Source organism: Homo sapiens, chromosome 10 (assembly GCF_000001405.40).
Source record: "Homo sapiens chromosome 10, GRCh38.p14 Primary Assembly".
NCBI classification, from domain to species: domain Eukaryota; kingdom Metazoa; phylum Chordata; class Mammalia; order Primates; family Hominidae; genus Homo; species Homo sapiens.
In genome coordinates this window covers 92637335-92657741 of record NC_000010.11, presented here as the reverse complement: position 1 = coordinate 92657741, position 20407 = coordinate 92637335, and the positions used below count along the sequence as shown (strand labels likewise).

Here is a 20407-nt window from a genome sequence, read left to right as displayed (position 1 = left end):
GGTGGTAATCCATAGCTTTCTTAAATTGCTTCTTTCCTTTGTTCTTCTGCTCCTCAGATGGATAATTTCAATTGATCTACCTTCAGCTTCACTGATTCTTTCTACTGTCTGGCCATATCTGCTATTAGAACCATTTTTTCCCCCTTTTTTTTATTGCACTTTTCAGCTAATTTTTATGGTTCCTTTTTATAATTTCTTTGACAATCTCTATGAGACATTGTTTCCCTGTATTCCCTTAGCTCTTTGAGCACTTTTGAGACAGTTGATTTACAAATTTTGTCTTAAAGTCCAATGTCTATGCTTCCTCAGATAGTTTATTCTAATTTTTTCTGAGTGGGCTATACTTTCTTTGCATGCTTCACAGTTTTTTGTTGAAAGCTGAATATTACTTTACTATTAACTCTGGAAACCAGATTCTTCACTCCTCAGGGTTTTTGTTACTTGCTGTGGGTTGTAGTGGTTTGTTTAGTGACTTGTATATATTTAGAGACAAAGTCTCACTCTGTTCCCGAGGCTGGAATGCAGTGGCGCAATCATAGCTGACTGTAGCCTCAAACCCCTGGGCTCAATCAATCCTTCCACCTCAGCCTCCCAAGTGGTTGGGACTATAGGCCTGTGCCACCATGCCCAACTAATTAAAAAAAATTTTTTTTTTATAGAGACGAGTTCTCACTATGTTGCCCGGGCAGGTCTCGAACTCCTGGGTTCAAGTGATCCTCCCACCTTGGCCTCCCAAAATACTGAAATTACAGGCATGAGCCACAGCACCCGGTCCTAGTGACTTTTCTGACCTGTTTTTGTAAAGTTTCTGTTCTTTGACTTACACGGTCTGTAAGGTGTCTTCCTTTTGCTAGCGTTCAGCCAGTGTGATGAGATTTCTTTGAAAACTGGTTGCCCCAAAAATTGACAAGGGAAGAAAAAAACCCTCAGTTTTTGCTGATTGGCTGTGTTGGGACACACCTTCAGTGCCTATCCGGCCCATCTGAAATTGGCCTTAGCCTTTACTTCCTGCTTGCACTGAGCCTACACATCAGCCAGACATGAAATCTTGGGGTCTTCTCAGGTTTGAATGTGCAGACTGACCTGGGACTGTGCATGGCTTTCTAAATCCCCCAATATACATGGGTGCTTTTGAATAACCTAATTTCCCTAAGAAATTCTGCTGCTTTCCTCTCAGGCTTTAGGCACTCCTTTGTTTACCTCAACGGTAACTTTTTGCCTCAGGCGGCAGCAGGTTGTTCATTTGCCTTACAATATTTAGAGACAAACATGCCAATTTCACACCATGACTGAGTTCTGAGTTACACGAAACAAATGCAGGTGCCTTTTGTCAGTCCTTGAGGCTGCCAGACAGGTCAGAACAAACATAATCTTTCAAGAATAAAATCTCTGGGGCTGGATGTGGTGGCTCATGCCTATAATCCAAGCACTTTGGGAGGCCGAAAAGGGTGGATCACCTGAGATCAGGAGTTTGAGACCAGCCTGGCCAACATGGTGAAACCCCGTCTCTACTAAAAATACAAAAATTAGCAGGTGTCGTGGTGTGTGCCTGTGGTCCCAGCTACTTGGGAGGCTGAGGCACAAATTGCTTGAACCCGGGAGGTTGCAGTGAGCCGAGATCATGCCAATGCACTCTGGCCTGGGTGGCAGGGTGAGACTGTCTCCAAAAAAAAAAAAAAAAATCTCTCTTCTCCCTAGAAACCCAAGACCAGGACTCCACGCTGAGAATGTGTTCTGTGTCTTCAAGACTGTTGCAGAGCTGAGAATGGGGAAAGGGCAAGTAAAACACTGCCAAGCTTTCCTTCTTTCTAGGTTGCCTTTTTCTTGATTCAGCAAATGCTTGGTGCTGTAAACTATTTTCCTGGGTTCTGACAAAGTTGTTTCTGAATGTTTTTGCTTGATTTTTCAATGTTTCTGTGGAGGAAAAGGTCCTTGAAGCTACCTACTTGGCCATTTTTGCTGATGCTACTCTTGGTTACATTCTGAGGGCCCGACATTGTGTATGAAAATTGGTAGAGCTAATTTATGGTTCTGGATGTTAAAATTATCTGGAGATTTATTTTTGCTTCTGTGAGGCAGTGAAATTAGTTGCATCAGCATTCTCAGATAACTTAAACAGTCATGGAATGAGATGACTTAAAGCTGGACTTCAGGCTGTGTGAGGGCCTACTTCTCACTAACCTTGCACCTAGGATAGCCCCTTGGAGTGCAACTAAAAGCCTGCAAGTTTACTAGGCTCCTTCTTCTTTGGTGGTACCTGCATAGTTTATTTTGGGAATGTGAATGCAGCTTGCCTAACCCTCTAAATATACCCATTGCCAGATAAGAAATTATGGAGCAAGCAGGTTAATGTAGAAACCACATTTATTAACCATGGATTTACTGAGGGCAGTTTATTAGGTATTATCCATCGCTTATGCTGACATCTGATTTTGCAGAGAAATTATAGCCATTATTTTATTAAGATAATTCTACGAGATCAATTTAGTTTCTTGAAGTAGCATATATTCAATTCTTCAATAGGGTTTGGTTTAATTTAGCTATCAAAGTCAGATGTCTCTAAACTTTACACACTAAACTCATCGTGAGCAGAAAATTTATTCTTTGTACATATTCCTTCTGTTTTGGTTCTTCAAGCTGAAACATCTCAACTTCCAGAAATATGGTTGCCAGATCAAAAATACCAGAGTCCTAAGGGTTAAGATTTGAATCGAGAAAAAGATACATGTACACATTGTATTATATACAAACAAGCAACAACAAAAAGTTTCATCATGTAAACAAAAGAATATAAATTATAGACATAATTGGAAGTTTCAAACAGTCCTTAAATCATTGTGAGCTTCTCTAAAAGGCACAGGTCTTGGAGTGTGGGCACAGAGCCATTAGTCAGATGTCTGGGTGGTCTCCCATAATAGCAATGTATACTCTTAAGTGGGCTTTTTGTGAACTCTGTCAGGGTGAATGAGTTAGGCCTCTTAAAGGAATGAAATGCTTTCACATTTGGGGCAACAAGTGAAAAATACTGAAAGGAGGGATACAACTAGGGTTAGATTTATTGTTGACAGTGATTTTAGAAATAACCACTAAAAAGGTGTTAAAAGATTTCTAGATAAAATTCTGACTACTGAAAATAAGAAAGGATACCTTTTGTAGCTCTACAAATGGTTTGGTGAAAAATAAAAAGGGAGAAAGTGAGCCGAGGAGAAAGCGAAATAGGGAAGTCTAGGGAGGATGCAAGAAAATACACAAGTCATAGCAAGAAAAAAAACATGAGATGGTCCTTTCTAAGGACAGATGTTGGTGATATTTACCTATGTAAGCTCAAGCTGAGAAGAGTACAGTTCTTATATATTCATTACTTAATAATATACAAGAAAAATACTTTTCATTTGTTATAAAAGAACTACTTTATATGAAAACTAGAAATACGTATTTACATTGCAAATCCCAAATGAAACCCAATTTAATACAAAGTGAACTATAGGGATGACAGAAAAATGGGTAGATATCAAAATTCAACTGAATTTACAGTACTGCCTTATATCTTTTTTAAATTTTGTTTTTGAGACCGAGTCTTGCTCTGTTGCCCAGGCTGGAGTGTAGTGGTGTACCTTTGGCTCACTGCAACCCCGCTTCCTGGGTTCAAGTGATTCTCGTGCCTCAGCCTCCCCAGTAGCTGGGATTACAGGAGTGTGCCACCACGCCCGGCTAATTTTTAACAGAGACGAGGTTTTGCCACGTTGGCCAGGCTGGTCTCAAACTCCTGGGCTCAAGCAATCCACCCGCCTCAGCCTCCCAAAGTGCTGGGATTACAGGCATGAGCCACCGCGCCCGGCTGATATATATATTCTTTTAAAATCTATACACAAGGCTCAAGTTCTGGGGTTTCAGGTTTTATTTTTAAGTTTTCTTTAAAAATAAAATTGCCAACCCCCAAGTGAATTAAAGGTTGATCTGGGCTCGCAGAGGTAATCTGCTCTTTGTAACCAAGTGCTCTGTAGTTTCTTCCACTTTAGACCTCTCCAGTGTGTTAATGCCTCTGTTTTCTTTGTCTTTTCCATGTGATTTTTTATGCTGTGGATTTAAGGCGGGAAAATTAAGTCAATACAAAGTAACATTAGATACACATTAACTACACTCTATTTTCAAAGTTCTCTGGGTTATAGGCAAAAAAACTTAAGTGTAGAAAACCAAAAAAGGTTCAGCACAAGTTTGAGCCAACAATTTGGCAAGTAGCGCCAAATGCCTTCTTTATTTGATCACTAATGGAAGGAGTAGAGTGAAAGAAATATTAATTTTCTGTGTTATTTTCTAAGACATAGTTATAGATTTTACTCCAGGGTAGTGGTTCTCATCAGGGAGTGATTCTGCTGCCACAGGGGACATTTGGCAATGCTGAGAGACTTTTTTGGTGTTACAATCAGGGAGTGCTACTGGCTTTGAGTGAGTATTCACATAGTACACTGTTTTTCTTGTGTACCAACATAGTACAGTCCACAGGAAAGCCCATCACAACAAAGAATTATCCAGTTTAAAATGCCAATAGCACTGCTGTCAAGAAACCCTGCTCTAAGGAAACAAAGATTTGCTGTCATGCAGAAAAGCCAATTCTGTTTTAAGCAGAGAAACTGGTATATGGGCCACCTTAAAAACACTTTTACTTGTTTTTTAAAATTGTATTTTATTTTATTTGTAAAACCTATTTCATATTCCTCATTTGGAAGTTCTATTTCATTGGAATCCTACTTACCCATACAGAACATTAATGGACTGGTGACATTCATTGTACACTCAGTCATCAATGCTGAGACAAATTGTAAACCAACTTTTAAAGTTTTAAACGCAGAGAAAATCCCCACATCACACTGCTACTAGGGAAAAGATCATTTCTGGACTTCAGCTGAAGGTCTAAAACCCCATCCCAAACCCTTTCTGGTACTGTAGGGACTTCCTTGCCATAGCTGAATCACTAAGCCTAATTCAAAATGCCACAGATAATAATAATAAAACGATTTCTGACCAGGGATTAAGTAGTCACCAGGTTCTCTTATCCTTCCCCCTTTCCTAACTTTATAAGATAGAAGAAAAGGATGAAAACTGAAAGAAACATATTTATAGTTCTCTAATAGTAAGGAATAAAGCAAAAGGTGGCAAGAATTTGGGAATAAAATTGCCCAGAGGAAGACAGGGAGGAATTTATGAGAATCTGAGTTGGAACTTTGTTAACTGTTGAAAGCAGGGATGGAGAATCTTTAGACCTTAAGGGAAGGAGCTGTAGATCTATTAAAAAACAGTTACAGGCCGAGCGCGGTGGCTCACGCTTGTAATCCCAGCACTTTGGGAGGCCGAGGCGGGCGGATCACCTGAGGTCGGGAGTTCAAGATTAGCCTGACCAACATGGAGAAACCCCTTCTCTACTAAAAATACAATATTAGCCAGGTGTGGTGGTGCATGCCTGTAATCCCAGCTACTCGGGAGGATGAGGCAAGAGAATCGCTAGAACCCGGGAGGCGGAGATTGTGGTGAGCCAAGATCAGGCAATTGCACTCTGGCCTGGGCAACAAGAGCAAAACTCCGTCTCAAAAACAAAAAAACAAAACAAGACATACACACAAAAAAGGTACAAGCAGCCAGGCGCAGTGGTTCATGCCTGTAATCCTAGCATTTTGGGAGGCTGAGGTAGGAGGGCTGCTTGAGGCCAAGAGTTCAAGACCAGTCTGGCCAACATAGCAAGACCCTCTCTCTATATATATTTAAAAAAAAAAAAAAAAAAAAAAGGTACAAGCATATGCATCTCAGAAGTAGAACTTCAACTGTAAATGTAGATACCAATGTCCTACGTAAGGAAATTTTTCCTTCACACACTCTGTCTAGGCTTGTACCCTCAAATTAGAGGAAAAGATACCAGCACTTTATAGAGCCTCACTTGGAAGTTGTATTTCATTGGAATCCTCCTACTTACCCATAGAGAACATTAAGGGACTGGTGACATTGATTGTGTACTCAGTCATCAATGCTGAGATGAATCATAAACCAACTATGTTCTCAACAGTGTTAAAAAGTGGGTAGGAGGGGCCGGGCCGGTGGCTCACACCTGTAATCCCAGCACTACGGGAGGCCGAGGCAGGCAGATCACCTGAAGTTGGGAGTTCGAGACCAGCCTGACCAACACAGAGAAACCCCCTCTACTAAAAAAAAAAAAAAAAAAAAAAAAAAAAAAAAAAAAAAAAACAAAATTAGCCAGGCATGGTGGCACATGCCTGTAATCCTGGCTACTCGGGAGGCTGAGGCAGGAGAATCACTTGAACCCAGGAGGTGGAAGTTGCGGTGAGCCAAGATCGTGCCATTGCACTCCAGCCTGGGAAACAAGAGCGAAGCTCCGTCTCAAAAGAAAAAAAAAAGTGGGTAGAGGGCTGGGCACAGTGGCTCACGCCTGTAATCCCAGCACTTTGGGAGGCCGAGGAGGGTAGATAACTTGAGGTCAGGAGTTTGAGACCAGCCTGGCCCACATAGTGAAACCCTGTCTCTACTAAAAATACAAAAAAATTAGCCAGGTGTGGTGGTGCATGCCTGTAATCCTAGCTACCCGGGAGGCTGAGTCAGGAGAATCACTTGAACTCAGGAGGCGGAGGTTAAGTGAGCCAAGATCGTGCCACTCCACTTCAGCCTGGGTGACTCAGTCTCAAAAAAAAAAGAAGAGTGGGTAGGAGAGGTCACAGGATTTAATTACACTGGATTAGAGCAGGCAAGGTGCTCAGGAAACATGGGGCAACAGTTTACAAGAGAAGAGCCTCAGGCAGGAGAAATCACTAATATAACCTAAGAGGCCTCCAGTCTCTCAATCTTTTCAATCACTTTGCCTTCAAAGTCTGATTATGGGCAGAGATAGGTTCCAAGACTTACATGTCAAAGGTAGAAGGAAGAGAAATGACTGCTCTCAGTGTCTGAGTATATAGCAAGCAGAAAAGGAATAAATACAATAGCTAAAGATTATCAGCTAAGGATGTAGATTAAGTCAAATTCTGCCTTCATTTATTCTACAGAAAACCCCTTATCAATATCAGATTTTTGTAAATAATTCAAATCATAAGCGTTAACAAGCCATCCTAAGGAATAATTGAAAGGTTTTTGTTGTTCTGCTCACCACGAACAATACCTTTATAATGAATAGTAAATGAATGACTTACATCAGATGTGGAAGGGTTATCTGATATGACATACCTGGAAAAATGGAACCCCGCCAATTGATGAACAATCCACACCAGCATCTACAGATGGCTCTTGACTTAGAGGTTCTTCAGTATACTGCCCCAGAACTGCCTCTTCTACATCCACATCCTAAAAGAAGAAACTGGATGAGTGACTAAGTCCAAGGGCTTAAAAGTCATCACAAGAGTAACAGCAGCTTTGAGTATAACACAATGCCCATGGTATAATATAAAAGTTAAACCTCAACAAAATTATTAGAAAGTCTACAAATTAATGAAAATAATTCCTAATATATTTTTATAGAGAGTAGAGGTTCCTATATAACAATGTTACTAAGCACAATATTAAGTATTGGCTATTATTATCTACTAGCATAATTTAAAAACTAGTAAGATTAAAAGAAACAAGCCTAAGGGCTAGGCCTATCATTAATGAGAGGCGGGGTAAGATTGAGGGGTAAACAGTAAAATTCTTCACATGAAGTCAGCCACATCAAGAGTTCATAAAAGAGTTCTATTATAAAATATGATCCTTTAAATTTACCGGAATTGTCTCTTCTTTGTTGTTTTCTGAACAGTTTAGCATCATTAACAGCTCAGGCTGTTTCCTTTTCAGCTGATCAAGGAGATGTTCACGTGGTTCAGTTCTTACCAGTGTTGATGGGTATAAATAACTTTTCCTCTGTGGTGTCGTACCTTTAACGGACATTAGATAAGAGGTAAAAATTAAAGTATGAGATGTAAATATTTTTAAAAAAACCTAAAACTTCCTAATTAATCTTGTCTTCTAAAAATATAAAAATATAATTGCCATATATGAGGATCAGTCTTGCTACCTGTCAGACATTGTTTGCAACTAACAATACTTTCTAATTTGATGACAGACTTTACTGTTTTCAAGATTCATCCTACTCTCTAAAACATGAAGTTTACCATCTCTGAGGATATATAAAAGATGTGTTATAAGCTCTAAAAGGAGTTATAGTGTTCTGAAAAAAATGGCAGCATTATTGGAATGAGTAGATTTCCCAACATGATTACTTTGATAGGAGTAATCATTTCACTATAAATGTGGTGTGGTGGTTAAATATTAACTAGTTATATACATATACTATGTTGCCCAGGCTGGTCTTGAACCCCTGGGCTCAAACGATCCTCCTGCCTTGCCTCCCGAAGTGCTGGGATTATAGGTGTGAGCCACCGCATCAGGCCCCCAGTTATATTTCTCTGTAATAAGCTCATGCTCTCATGATTTACAAAAGTACTTGCCTTTTCACTCAACATTTACATTCCTAACTTCATTGAAAAGTAGACAGTAAATCCTACAGGTCTCTTGGGGAATAAATAAACCAACATTCTATGTAGCACCATCCCCTTTTAACAATTGCTTTTTAAATTAAAAAAAAAAAAGAGTTTTGTGATATAATTTACATACCATAAAACACTCATTTTATGTGTACAATTCAGTGGATTTTAGTGAGTTTACAGGGTGTGCAACCATTACCATAATCCAATGAAGAACCCAATTATTCATGCTGTGTAAAACAGCTTGTTACATCTCTTCCATGAAGACCTCCCTGAATCATTACAGCCTATAATGATCTTTGCCATATGTGATCTCTCAAAATGTTGATTCCTAAATGCTAATGGTCCATGGTGATCCCTGATCTCTTAAAACAGGGATTCCTAAATGGCAATAGTCTATGACAAAATGAGAGGGACACAGAACAAAATGCACAATGTGGTAAACTTTGCATTAAACTAGATTTAGTCAGTTACATCTCTCCCATATTTGTGGTATTAAAATGTCCTTTTACAAACAGTGCTAGGTTTGTATTTGTTTTAAAAAATCCCCTATTAACAAAGTCAACTCCCTGAAAGTATGTGAAATTATACTGAATTGTGATACCACCTGTATCATGACACTTGATTAAAACTATTTTAAGGTTCCAGTTTTCCCATTTTGAGTTGATTACAGTGAGATGTTAAATTTCTGTCAGGCAATGGCAGGACCTAATTTTTCTGAACATCTGACACTACATAGAGTTGAATTCGACTTCAAAAAATTTAACAATTCTATTTCTCTTTTAAAGTACCTGTTGGGATATCCAGTTTCAGATCCTGTTCCAGAAAGCAATTAAGCTTAGTCAAACCAATTTTTATGGTTTCATTAAGTTCTAGATTTTGTGCTATCAATTTATCTTCATCAATAGTCATCTGATCAAGAAAAATGTTATGCTGTTTCTCATGAGCTGCCTTACGTCCATCTGATTTCTCAGTGATGTCTGAACTTGAAGCCTCACAACATTGGCTTACAACCTGTAAATGATGCAAATAAATATTTATTACTAAAATTAAAGTTGCCAGTGTTTTATTCAACATCATATTTTCCCTTACCTTTTCCATAATTTTTTTTTTTTTTGGAGACAAGTCTCACTCTGTTGCCCAGGCTGGAGTGCAGTGGCATGAGTAGTGCTCACTACAGCCTTGACCTCCCAGGCTCAAGCCATCCTCCCACCTCAGCCTCCCAGGTAGCTGGGACTACAGGCATGTACCACCATGCCTGGCTAATTTTTGTATTTTTTGAAGAGATGGCATTTCACCATGTTGCCCAAGCTGGTCTCAAACTCCTGGGCTCAAGCAATCTGCCCACCTTGACCTCCAAAGATTACAGGCATGAGCCACCACACCTGGCCTTCAGTAATAAAAGATTTAAAAACACATACAAAAGTAGAGAGAACAGTATAATTAACTCCCTTGTATTCATTACCCAGCTTCAACATTTACCAACAAGTGGAGTACAGACATTTACCAACAGGACTGGCCACTCAACTCCTCCATAAACCCAGGATTATTTTGAAACAAATCCTGTATCATTTCATCCATTTACTTCAGCATGTATCTCTAAGAGGTAAGAGCACTTTAAGACCACTATCACATCTAAAAAGGTTAACACTGATTCCTTCCTATCAAATGTCTAGTCCATGTTCAAACTTCACCAGTCGTCTCAAATGTGTGTCACAATTGCTTTGTTTGAACCAGAATTCACCACTAGATTTGGTTCATAGGTCTTAAGTCGGTGACTATATAATTTATCATCCAAATTGGGACACCTTTTGGAGTGAAAGGGCCCATTCTTAATAATCATTCTAATACAACAATATCAACAAGGACTGTCTCAGGCAAACTAAGACTTAAGGACCTCTAGTCTTAAGTCTCTTTTGATATACAGGTTATTGTTTCTCATATTTTTTCCCTTGAAAAAAAAAACTTGTTGCTGAAGACATGAGGTCTTTACCCCATTGAACATCTCAAATTCTGGATTTGGTCAACTGCATTTCTATGCTTTATTTTCTACAAACTGGTTAGACCTAAAGGCTTGATTTAATTCAGGTTTAATTTTTTAGCAAGAGTATTTCATAGGTAGTACTGCAAGCACAAAATGCTTTGCTGTGTCTCTCATGTTAAGATTTATCAGTGAGTTCAGGTATGGTTAGCCTATTAATTATAAAGTTCCCCAACAGCTTTTGATCAAATGGTTTAAGCCATCATTAACATCCACAGGGGTTATTTTATTAAGAGTTGCATACTGGTGATATATTAATTCTATCATTTCTTCTCCATTTTATTAGCTTAGAGTCTAATGAAACACTTTTCTTCATTACCCTGCTAAACCAAGATATGGTTCTTTTAGGAAAGACAGATGGATGCTAAATTTTTTCTTCTTCTTTACCCATTTTCAGGACAATGTGTTGCTTCCCTAGCATGATCCAAAGGAGACCTATGAAATTTTTATGAGTTCGTAAGTTTTAATATATTTGATATGTTTTAATCCATTATGGCCATTATTCTTTTTGATGCTCAAATTATGCCACCTTTGAAGATGGGGAGGTTGGCTACTAAGACCTTTTGACAACCTCAGAAATCTTTAACAGCTTCCTTACTCTCTGGTATGACAAGATCTCTAGGCTCATATATTATACATTTCCTATCACAAATCTGAAATTAGCTATTTGTATACAAACTCTAGTTCCTTTTAGTGAAAACAGCTTATATAGATTAAAAATTTTAATTCTTTGTACCTACTTCCTGAGAATGTTAGTAAAATCCTATTAATGCAAAGAAAGAAAAAACCAAGTTACAAAGGGCTCATGCAAGCGTTAAGTTCAAGCAAATCCATAAACCTATCAAGTATCCTTTAGTTACCAGAACAATAACCTAAATACTTAAAATAATAATAGGTTTGAATGTACTTGGAGAAAAGTAAAAAGCAAAGATAGGCCGGGCGCAGTGGCTCATGCCTGTAATCCCAGCACTTTGGGAGGCCGAGGCGGGTGGATCATGAGGTCAGGAGTTTGACACCAGCCTGGCCAATATAGTGAAACCCCATCTCTACTAAAAATACAAAAAAATTAGCCGGGTGTGGTGGCAGGTGCCTATAATCCCAACTACTCGAGAGGCTGAGGCAGGAGAATCGCTTGAACTTGGGAGGCGGAGGTTGCAGTGAGCTGAGATCGTGCCATTGCACTCCAGCCTGGGCAACAGAGTGAGACTCCATCTCAAAAAAAAAAAAAAAAAAAGCATATATAAGTGGAAGGTATTACATATCAAAAGACAGGGTGCCCTTCTTTGAAGAAACTACTAAGTCAGAAACCAAGGATAAATACAGGAAAGAAACTGTACAAATGTTAAATTAATTCCAAGATTGAGAAGACATATAACAAAGCACAAAACGAGATCATCTGTAAGCATACCAAATATTATACTTAAAAGTTTAAGTCATTATAGCTTAAAATATCATTTGTTTTGAAATCTATTCTTAGCCAAGAATATTTAACTTTCTGATTATTATTCTCCCCAAAGTAAGTTCCACTTACAAAGTTATTACCTCCAATAAGTTGTGAAGTTCCTGTTCCCTTTCATTTAAGGAAGATACCCACTGTTCAGAAAAATAAACTGTTCTTGTGTTCAGAGATTCACATCTCTGTTCAGTCTCTTGAGATATTTTTTCCAGGTTGCCATTGAGTTTATCAGAGTGTTTCACAGATTCTTCAACCAATTTTGTACCTTCTTGGTTAAAATTTCTGAGTTCCTGTGAGAAGCCATCAGAATCAGCACAAAATTTTTGACTGTGAAAAGTCATTTTGTTGACTATATCCTTAGATTTCCTATAGGAAAAGAGAATGACACTGTTGAAATGGGGAATTAAGACTCAAAGGATATATAACTTCCCAAGATCACTCAGCTCTTAAGTGGCAGATCTGAACGTGGACAGTCTGGCTCCAGGGCCCGTGATCTTAGTAAATCTTCTGCATTGAGAATGGATGCCTTGGCCACTGTCTTTTCACAGCATTGCCATTAAATGACCTTTGAAAGGATCATCTTTGCTCATGAAACCTTTCACAACCCTCCTCCAGTTATGATGCTTTCAAAATCTGTCTACTTGTTTTATTCCTCTTACTAGGCAATGTTACTTCAGGGCATCTACTACAGCCTCTTGTCTAGTCCCTAAATTGGACAATCAGTCATTTATTCTGTTATTAAGCAGTTTCCCTTGCCTAGTATGTAAAACAAATCATGAACATTACAAATGTTATGTTTAAATTAGCTATAAAGCTTTCTAATAATTAAAATTATATTGGGGTGTGACAAATTATACATATAGAACAATGTAACATAAACTTGATATAATATTAATGTTGGTTAGACATACATTTAAAATTCATTGATAATTTCCATCTCGGTAAGTTGCCCTATAATAGCATTCCAAGTTATCTTACAAGATTTAAACCTTGTGGAATGAAGTGACTCTCTATTACCACTAGATGGTACACCACGTGGGTAAACCAAGTGAGTCAGCAAAGATGTTAAAAACCAAACCTACACGTGAAAGTCACAATGACTGAAAAAAGGGCAAGGCATAGTGGCTCACACCTCTAATCCCAGCACTTTGGGAGGCCGAGGCAGGTGGATCACCTGAGGTCAGGAGTTAGAGACCAGTCCGGCCAATATGGTGAAGCCCTGTCTCTATTAAAAATACAATAAATTAGCCGGGCGTGGTGGTGGGTGCCTGTAATCTCAGCTACTTGGGAGAGAGTGAGGCAGGAGAATTGGTTGACCCTAGGAGGCAGAGGTTGCAGTGAGCTGAGATTGTGTCATTGTACTCCAGCCTGGGCGACAGAGCAAGACTCTGTCTCAAATAAAAAAAACAAAACAAAATCTCACAACTTAATGGGAAGACGAGATTGAGTTAAAAGTACTATAAGCCATGACAATAAATGCCAAACGCAGTTATGTGCAGTGTGTACATAAACATCACCTAGATTCCTGGGTGATGAATACAAAGTCCCTAGACCATACTGGGAAACTCTGGTGTAGACAATAAATGTCAGGAAAGCAGGAAAAATGATTTGCATGGGCCTTAAGAAAGTATATCATACTTCCCTTCCTACTTCAATCCTACTCTAGTATTTCCTCCACGGCTATGGAATGGCCTAGAAATCCATCAGTCTAGATACTAGGAATAAAAAGTAGGACATACTTTTTTGATTCAGCATATAGGAAGAGTTCACAATGGAACATGCTATACTTAACAGGATCAAAAACAGGGTTGAAAAACAAATGACAGAAGTTAGGTAGGGATATATAAATGATAGCTAGAGTTCCAGAACAGCACTGTTCAACAGAAGTATAATAGAAGCCACATATGCAATTAAAAATTTCTGAGGCGGGCAATCACAAGGTCAGGAGTTTGAGACTAGCCTGGCCAATATGGTGAAACCCCCGTCTCTACTAAAAATACAAAAATTAGCCGGGCATGGTGGTAGGTGCCTGTAATCCCAGCTACTTGGGAGGCTGAGGCAGGAGAATTGCTTGAACCTGGGAGGCAGAGGTTGCAGTGAGCCAAGATTGCACCACTGCACTCCAGCCTGGGTGACAGACCAAGACTCCCTCTCAAAAAAAAAAAAAAAAAAATCTAGTAGATACATTAAAAAAGAAAATAGATAAAGCAATTCAAGTAACAATGTATTAGGTGTTTATTGCACATATAAACACCTAAGTAAAACATATGAAAATAATGACAAACGGGAAAGAGGAAACAGGAATATACTATTATAATGTCCTTTCACTACACATGAAACAGCAAATTATTTGATAATGGATTCAAATTATCTTAAAATGTATACAAATTCAAATTATCTTAAAATGTATACTTTAAATCCTAGACATACTACTAAAAAGGGAATATTTAAAAAGTATAAATAAGTCAATGGAAGAGATAAAAACATAAAAAGTGCTCAATTTAAATGAGGAAAGGCAGCTGGGTGCAGTGCCTCACACCTATAATCCCAGCACTTTGGGAGGCCAGGGCAGGTAAATCACTTGAGGTCAGGAGTTCGAAACCAGCCTGGCCAACATGGTGAAACCCCATCTCTAGTAAAAATTTAAAAATTAGCTGGGCATGGTGGTGTGTGCCTGTAGCCCCAGCTACTCAGGAGGCTGAGGCAGGAGAATCACTTGAACCCGGGAGGCAGAGGTTGCAGTGAGCCAAGATTGCACCACTGTACTCCGGCCTGGGCCACAGAGCAAGACTCTGTCTCAAATAAATAAATAAAAATAAAACATCATAGATTATAAATTTGATGAAAAAGCAAGACCCAACTACATGCTGTCTATAAGAAACCCACTTTAAATATAAAGACTTAGACCAAAAGTAAAGAGATGGAGAAGGATACATCATACAAATAGCAATCAAAGGAAAGCTAGAAAACCTGTATTCATTTCAGACAAAACAGACTTCAGAACAAGAGCTTATCAGAAATAAAAGTGGATATTACATAATGATAAAGAGGTCAATTCTCCAAGGAGATATAATAATCCTAAATGTATATGCACCCAACAACAGAGTTTCAGATACACGAGGCAAAAACTGATAGAACTAATAAAAAAAATAGATAAATCTACAATTAGAGATTTCAATACTCCTCTCTAAGTCACTGATAGAACAAATAGGCAGAAACTCAGTAAGGCCGTGGATGACCTGAATAGCACTATCAATCAACTTGATCAAAGTGACACATACAGAACACTTCATGCAACAAAAGCAGAATACAAATTTTTCTCATGTGGGTAGCACACAAACAAAGCATTATCAGAATAACACTGCAAGGGCTCTAAAAACTAAATTGTCAGTGGAACCACAGCCCATAAAAGTGAGCCTGGATCTGTATGCTAAGCCTAAACAGGGTGAATGCCAGCTAAAAAATACTTAAATAGGATCCTGAATCTCCTAACATAATACCCAAAATCTTCAAGGTACAATAGGAAATCACTTATCATATATCAAGAACCACAAAAATCACAAGTTGAATGAGAAAAGACAATCAATAGATGGCAACAACAAGAAAACTCAGATGTTGGAATTGTCTGGCAAGGATTTTAAAGCAGCCATCAAAAAATGCTCCAAAAAGAAATTAAAATACTCCTGGAAAAGAAAAAAATCCTAGCTAAGAAACAAGGTATAAAAAAAGCAAATGAAAATTATAAAACTAAAAATAAAAAAGCAATAACTGAAAAAACACCTCATTGAATGGGTTTAACAGTAGGTTAGAGATGACAGAAGGAGACTCAGTGAATATGAAGACAGATCAATAGAATTTCCCCAATGTGAACAACAAAGAGAATATATGTATCTATAAGAAATATATTCTACATATCTCCTGAGGGACCAAAATAAAAGATCTAACATTTGTGTCATCAAAGTCATAGGGGCAGATGAAAAAGAGTATAGGGCTGAAAAATATTCAAAGAATTAATAGATGAAAATTTCCCAAGTTTTGGTGAAAGGCATAAGCCTACAGATTCAAGAAGCTAAACAAAACCCAAATAGAATAAACTCAACGAAATATAAGTAGACAAAATATAATCAAGTTTCTAAAGACAAAAAAGTTTTGAAAGCAGCTATAGGGAGACTGCCTATAAGGGAACAATTACTTGAATGGCAGTGGATTTCTCATTTCATAGAGGCCAGAAGAAAATGGAAATATTTCAAATGCTGGAAAAAAATAATTGTCAACCCTGAATTCCACAGCCAGTGAAAATACCTTTCAGGAATGAAGGGGAAATCAAGACATTCTTAGACAAAGAAAAACAATTTCTGTCCAGCAGACCCACCCTTAAAGACTACTTCCCACCAAAGAAAGCTTGAAACTTTAGGAAGTTTAATTTCAGAATTAAATGGGGAAAAATAGGGTAAATATAGTATCTTTCTCCTCATGAGTATAGAATACTCAATAGGCAAAAAACTGAAACTTGACAAATCTCCTATGTTTTATAAAAATTTTTAAATGGATCATGAATATAAATGTTAAACCATAAAGTTATAAAATTCCTAAAAGAAAACATAGGTCTGACTGTAGTGTATGTTAAGTATGCGGAACTGGCAAGCAATGAGGCTACAAAGCAACATTAAACTCTAATACAGGCTGGGAGCAGTGACTCACACCTGCAATCCCAGCACTTTGGGAGGCCGAGGTAGGAGGATCAGTTGAGACCAGGAGTTCAAGATCAGCCTGGCCAACGTGGCGAAACCCCATCTCTACTAAAAATACAAAAAATTAGCCAGGCATGGTGGTATGTGCCTGTAATCCCAGCTACTCGGGAGGCTGAGGCAGGAGAATCACTTGAACTCAGGAGGCAGAGGTTGCAGTGAGCCAAGATCACACCACTGCACTCGCGCCACTGTACTTCAGCCTGGGCTACAGAGCAGGCTGTTTGTTTTTGTCTGAAAAAACAAAACAGAGCCGGGCGTGGTGGCTCACGCCTGCAATCCCAGCACTTTGGGAGGCCGAGGCGGGCGGATCACGAGGTCAGGAGATCGAGACCATCCTGGCTAACATGGTGAAACCCCTCTCTACTAAAAATACAAAAAATTAGCCAAGCATGGTGGCGGGCATCTGTAGTCCCAGCTACTCGGGAGGCTGAGGCAGGAGAATGGCGTGAGCCTGGAAGGCGGAGCTTGCAGTGAGCTGAGATCACTCCACTGCACTCCAGCCTGGGTGACAGAGCAAGACTCCGTCGCAAAAACAAAAACAAAAACAAAAAACAAAACCCTAATACAGGAATCAGCAAACTTTTTCTTGAAAAGCCAGATAGCAAATATTTTAGGCTATTGTTCAATGACCTGGATGCAATGACTCAACTTTGCCACTGCAGTGCAAAGGCAGCCAAAGACAACATGTAAACAGTGTCCAATGAAATTATTTGCAATAACAGGCATCCAGCCTGCTAGCCACAGTTTGCCAAACCCTGCTCTAGTTAGTATATTTTTCATCAGTAATATAGGTTAGAAATTGTGAAATTACTTAGTGTGTTTTCTAAGATTGAGGAAATTCGAAAATATATTGTGGGTAACAGCCAGGTTTTTCAATGTCTTAAAAGAGAGCACAAATACGCAATGAAAAGACATTTATATGCATGTATATATATACATACACACATACATAATAAAATATTAACAAAAGAGAAATTTGAAAGTACACAGAGGAATTATTTGTACTATTTAAAGCTTTTTCTTCTTAAATAATTTCAGACTTACAGAAAAGTTTAAGAGAATTTAAAAATAGCTTACTGCTGTATATTTTCCTGGACACTACTAAGTGGTTTCTGTATATTTTCACACTTTTCCTCCAAAGCACAGAATCTCTCTGTCCAAAGATTCATTAACTTGCAAAGTTCCTGTAAGAAAGGTGTGGGAAGTGAAGAGACTTAAAATTATGACACTTGAACATTTTTTATGACTGATAACAAAACAAGAAGTATTGTCCATAGGTGAGAATTATATAAATTCTTGACAAGAGATAAAGTTAACTTTACCTTTCTTCTACAGAGGAAAGCAGTGGAAGTGATATTAAAATGTAGGATTTGTTTTTTTTTTTAGAGACAGGGTCTCACTCTGTTGTCCAAGCTGTAGTGCAGTGGCACAATCAAGGCTCACTGCAGCTTCAACCTCCTGGGCTCAAGGGATCCTCCTTCCTCAGCCTCCAAGTAGTTGGGACTACACAGGCATGAGCCACCATGCCTGGCTAATTTAAACAAATTTTTTTTGTAGAGACGTGATCTCGCTATGTTGACCAGGCTGGTCTTGAACTCCTAGCCTCAAGTGATCACCCTGCCTCAGCCTCTCAAAGTGCTGAGATTACAGACATGAGCCATCACATCCAGCCAGGATTTTTTAAAAAGTAAATAATTAGCAAACTTTACTATTTTAGCTGTAAGTAACAAATTACTTTCAGTGTACCTCAAAACTAATCAAACAACCCATATATCACATTATGTTTAAGACCCACTTTGACAGATATATATAGTTGCTTTTTAACTGATAACACTGCTAGAAGGGAAAATTAATGTGATATACTAACGGGTCAAGCAATCCAAAAATATTATCAATTACTGGAGCTAAAAAATGTTACAGAACCTAGTTGGATCATATTAACAAAATGTAAATAGTCTTATCTTTGCTCATATTTTACATCTTTGAAAACAAGCTCTTATAGGCATATAACATGCTACATTGCAAAATGAAGAAGCCATCCTAATGACCAAAGAAGAGCTGAAAATGCATCCAACATTCTTATTCACTCTTCAGTCTGCTGGTTGGCCAGTATCTCTGAATAACACATCAGTTGACAATACATATCTAACATTCTGATTATGAATAAAGTCTGTCAGTATTTTTACTAGTCTCAAAGGTATTATCAGATTAATAATTTGAATGCTAATGCAGGTATTATATTTATCTATATGTAAATGTGTTCAAAGTTTTACATAATTATTTTAGTAGTGCTCATTTCAAGTTCTGGAAAACCTAAGAAATAGCTCACATACTGAACTTGCTTCCTTAAAGCCAGGAAAGCCAAACCATTCATGCTAAGATACTTTTCAGATCAGATTTTTTTGTATTGTTTTTTTAAAGAGCTGTCTAACAATTTTAAGCATTTCAAAACAGCAAATTTATAAAAAGGGGATCAGCCTTAGAATATACACCTAAAAAGTTCTCAACGGGTTTAAGGGAAATACCCTATGTAGATGTATGAGAAAATGCTGCAGTTTTAAGTTGCCAAAAAACACACAAAAGAGCCACTCAAACATGGATGCTTTTCAGGTAGTATGATCACTACCACCTTCTGCAAGATGATCTACATACTATTAGATGCTCACAGGGTCTCAGTTTCCTCATTAAAAATCTGACTAGTAATAGAATTTATATCTATATTGATGGGAGGAATAAACACAGTGAATTGCTCAATAAATGTTAACTATTATAAGAGTTCTGTCATATTATAATAAGCTCATTTAATAAAACTTTAGACAGTCATTATTAAAGTCTTAAGAATACCAGAAGCTGTTTTTCAGATATCTGATATTTACAGATTATGGTTTGAAGGCTTGGTTTTGGTTTAAAGCCTCATATAATGAGGAACAGTTTACAGGGAAGATAAATCATGAATTACATTTATAATCAATAAGAATTAAAAGTTGTATCGATTTACTATGTTTTAAATGTCTATCAGTGAGACAGAAATAAGAGAAAGTAGGACTTGGTTTATGAAAGACAACTATCCATGCCATCCTAGAAACAACTTAGCAGGTTTTAATGTAGATACATTTTCACTTTAAATGTTATAACCATTCTTCTCTAAAGGTATGTTTTTCCAGATTCATCTTTCATCTTGATGTGAGAAAAGGACTGTTTTGTCATATTGTGGTTCTGCATGGGGTTCTAGATGTAGCAAAACTTCAAATATTAAGAGAAGTATTCTCAATTGTTCTACAATAATTACTGTTATAAGCAACAGTGGCTATGGTATTTTCAGGTTTCAGCTTTTACAGTATTCAGATTGTGTAACATAGATTAATTATCAAGTCATATCAAATCATCCTAAAACTCTCTTTCTGTACTCCCCAAGTCCGCTAAACAACATACCTGGGAATGGGTCTGCTTTATTGTCTTCAGGTCTTCAGTTAGGTTTCCACATTGCTTTTGTGACTCAACCAAGGAACAAATGGTATTTTCTTGTAGTTCATGTAGATTGTTACACAGTATACTGAGAAAGCCATCTAGTTCCTTTTTTTGATCTTCTATCTTTGAAGAAACAAAAATGAGTTTCCTTCTTAAACAACACATCAATTTTGAG

The 20407-nt window shown here is 37.9% G+C and overlaps 1 protein-coding gene across 1 annotated transcript in view; it reads right to left on the bottom strand.

Annotated features, from left to right (window-relative positions):
- The window catches only part of KIF11 (kinesin family member 11), a 62266-nt gene continuing 44205 nt past the window's right edge, over positions 2347 to 20407 (bottom strand). The window contains exons 16-22 of the mRNA NM_004523.4: positions 20197 to 20355; positions 17842 to 17948; positions 12100 to 12379; positions 9308 to 9530; positions 7756 to 7907; positions 7225 to 7341; positions 2347 to 4077 (exon numbers count right to left, since the gene is read on the bottom strand). Of these exons, the coding sequence (NP_004514.2) occupies positions 3946 to 4077; positions 7225 to 7341; positions 7756 to 7907; positions 9308 to 9530; positions 12100 to 12379; positions 17842 to 17948; positions 20197 to 20355 (1170 nt within the window). The 3' untranslated portion in view covers positions 2347 to 3945. The remainder of the gene's footprint in view (positions 4078 to 7224; positions 7342 to 7755; positions 7908 to 9307; positions 9531 to 12099; positions 12380 to 17841; positions 17949 to 20196; positions 20356 to 20407) is intronic.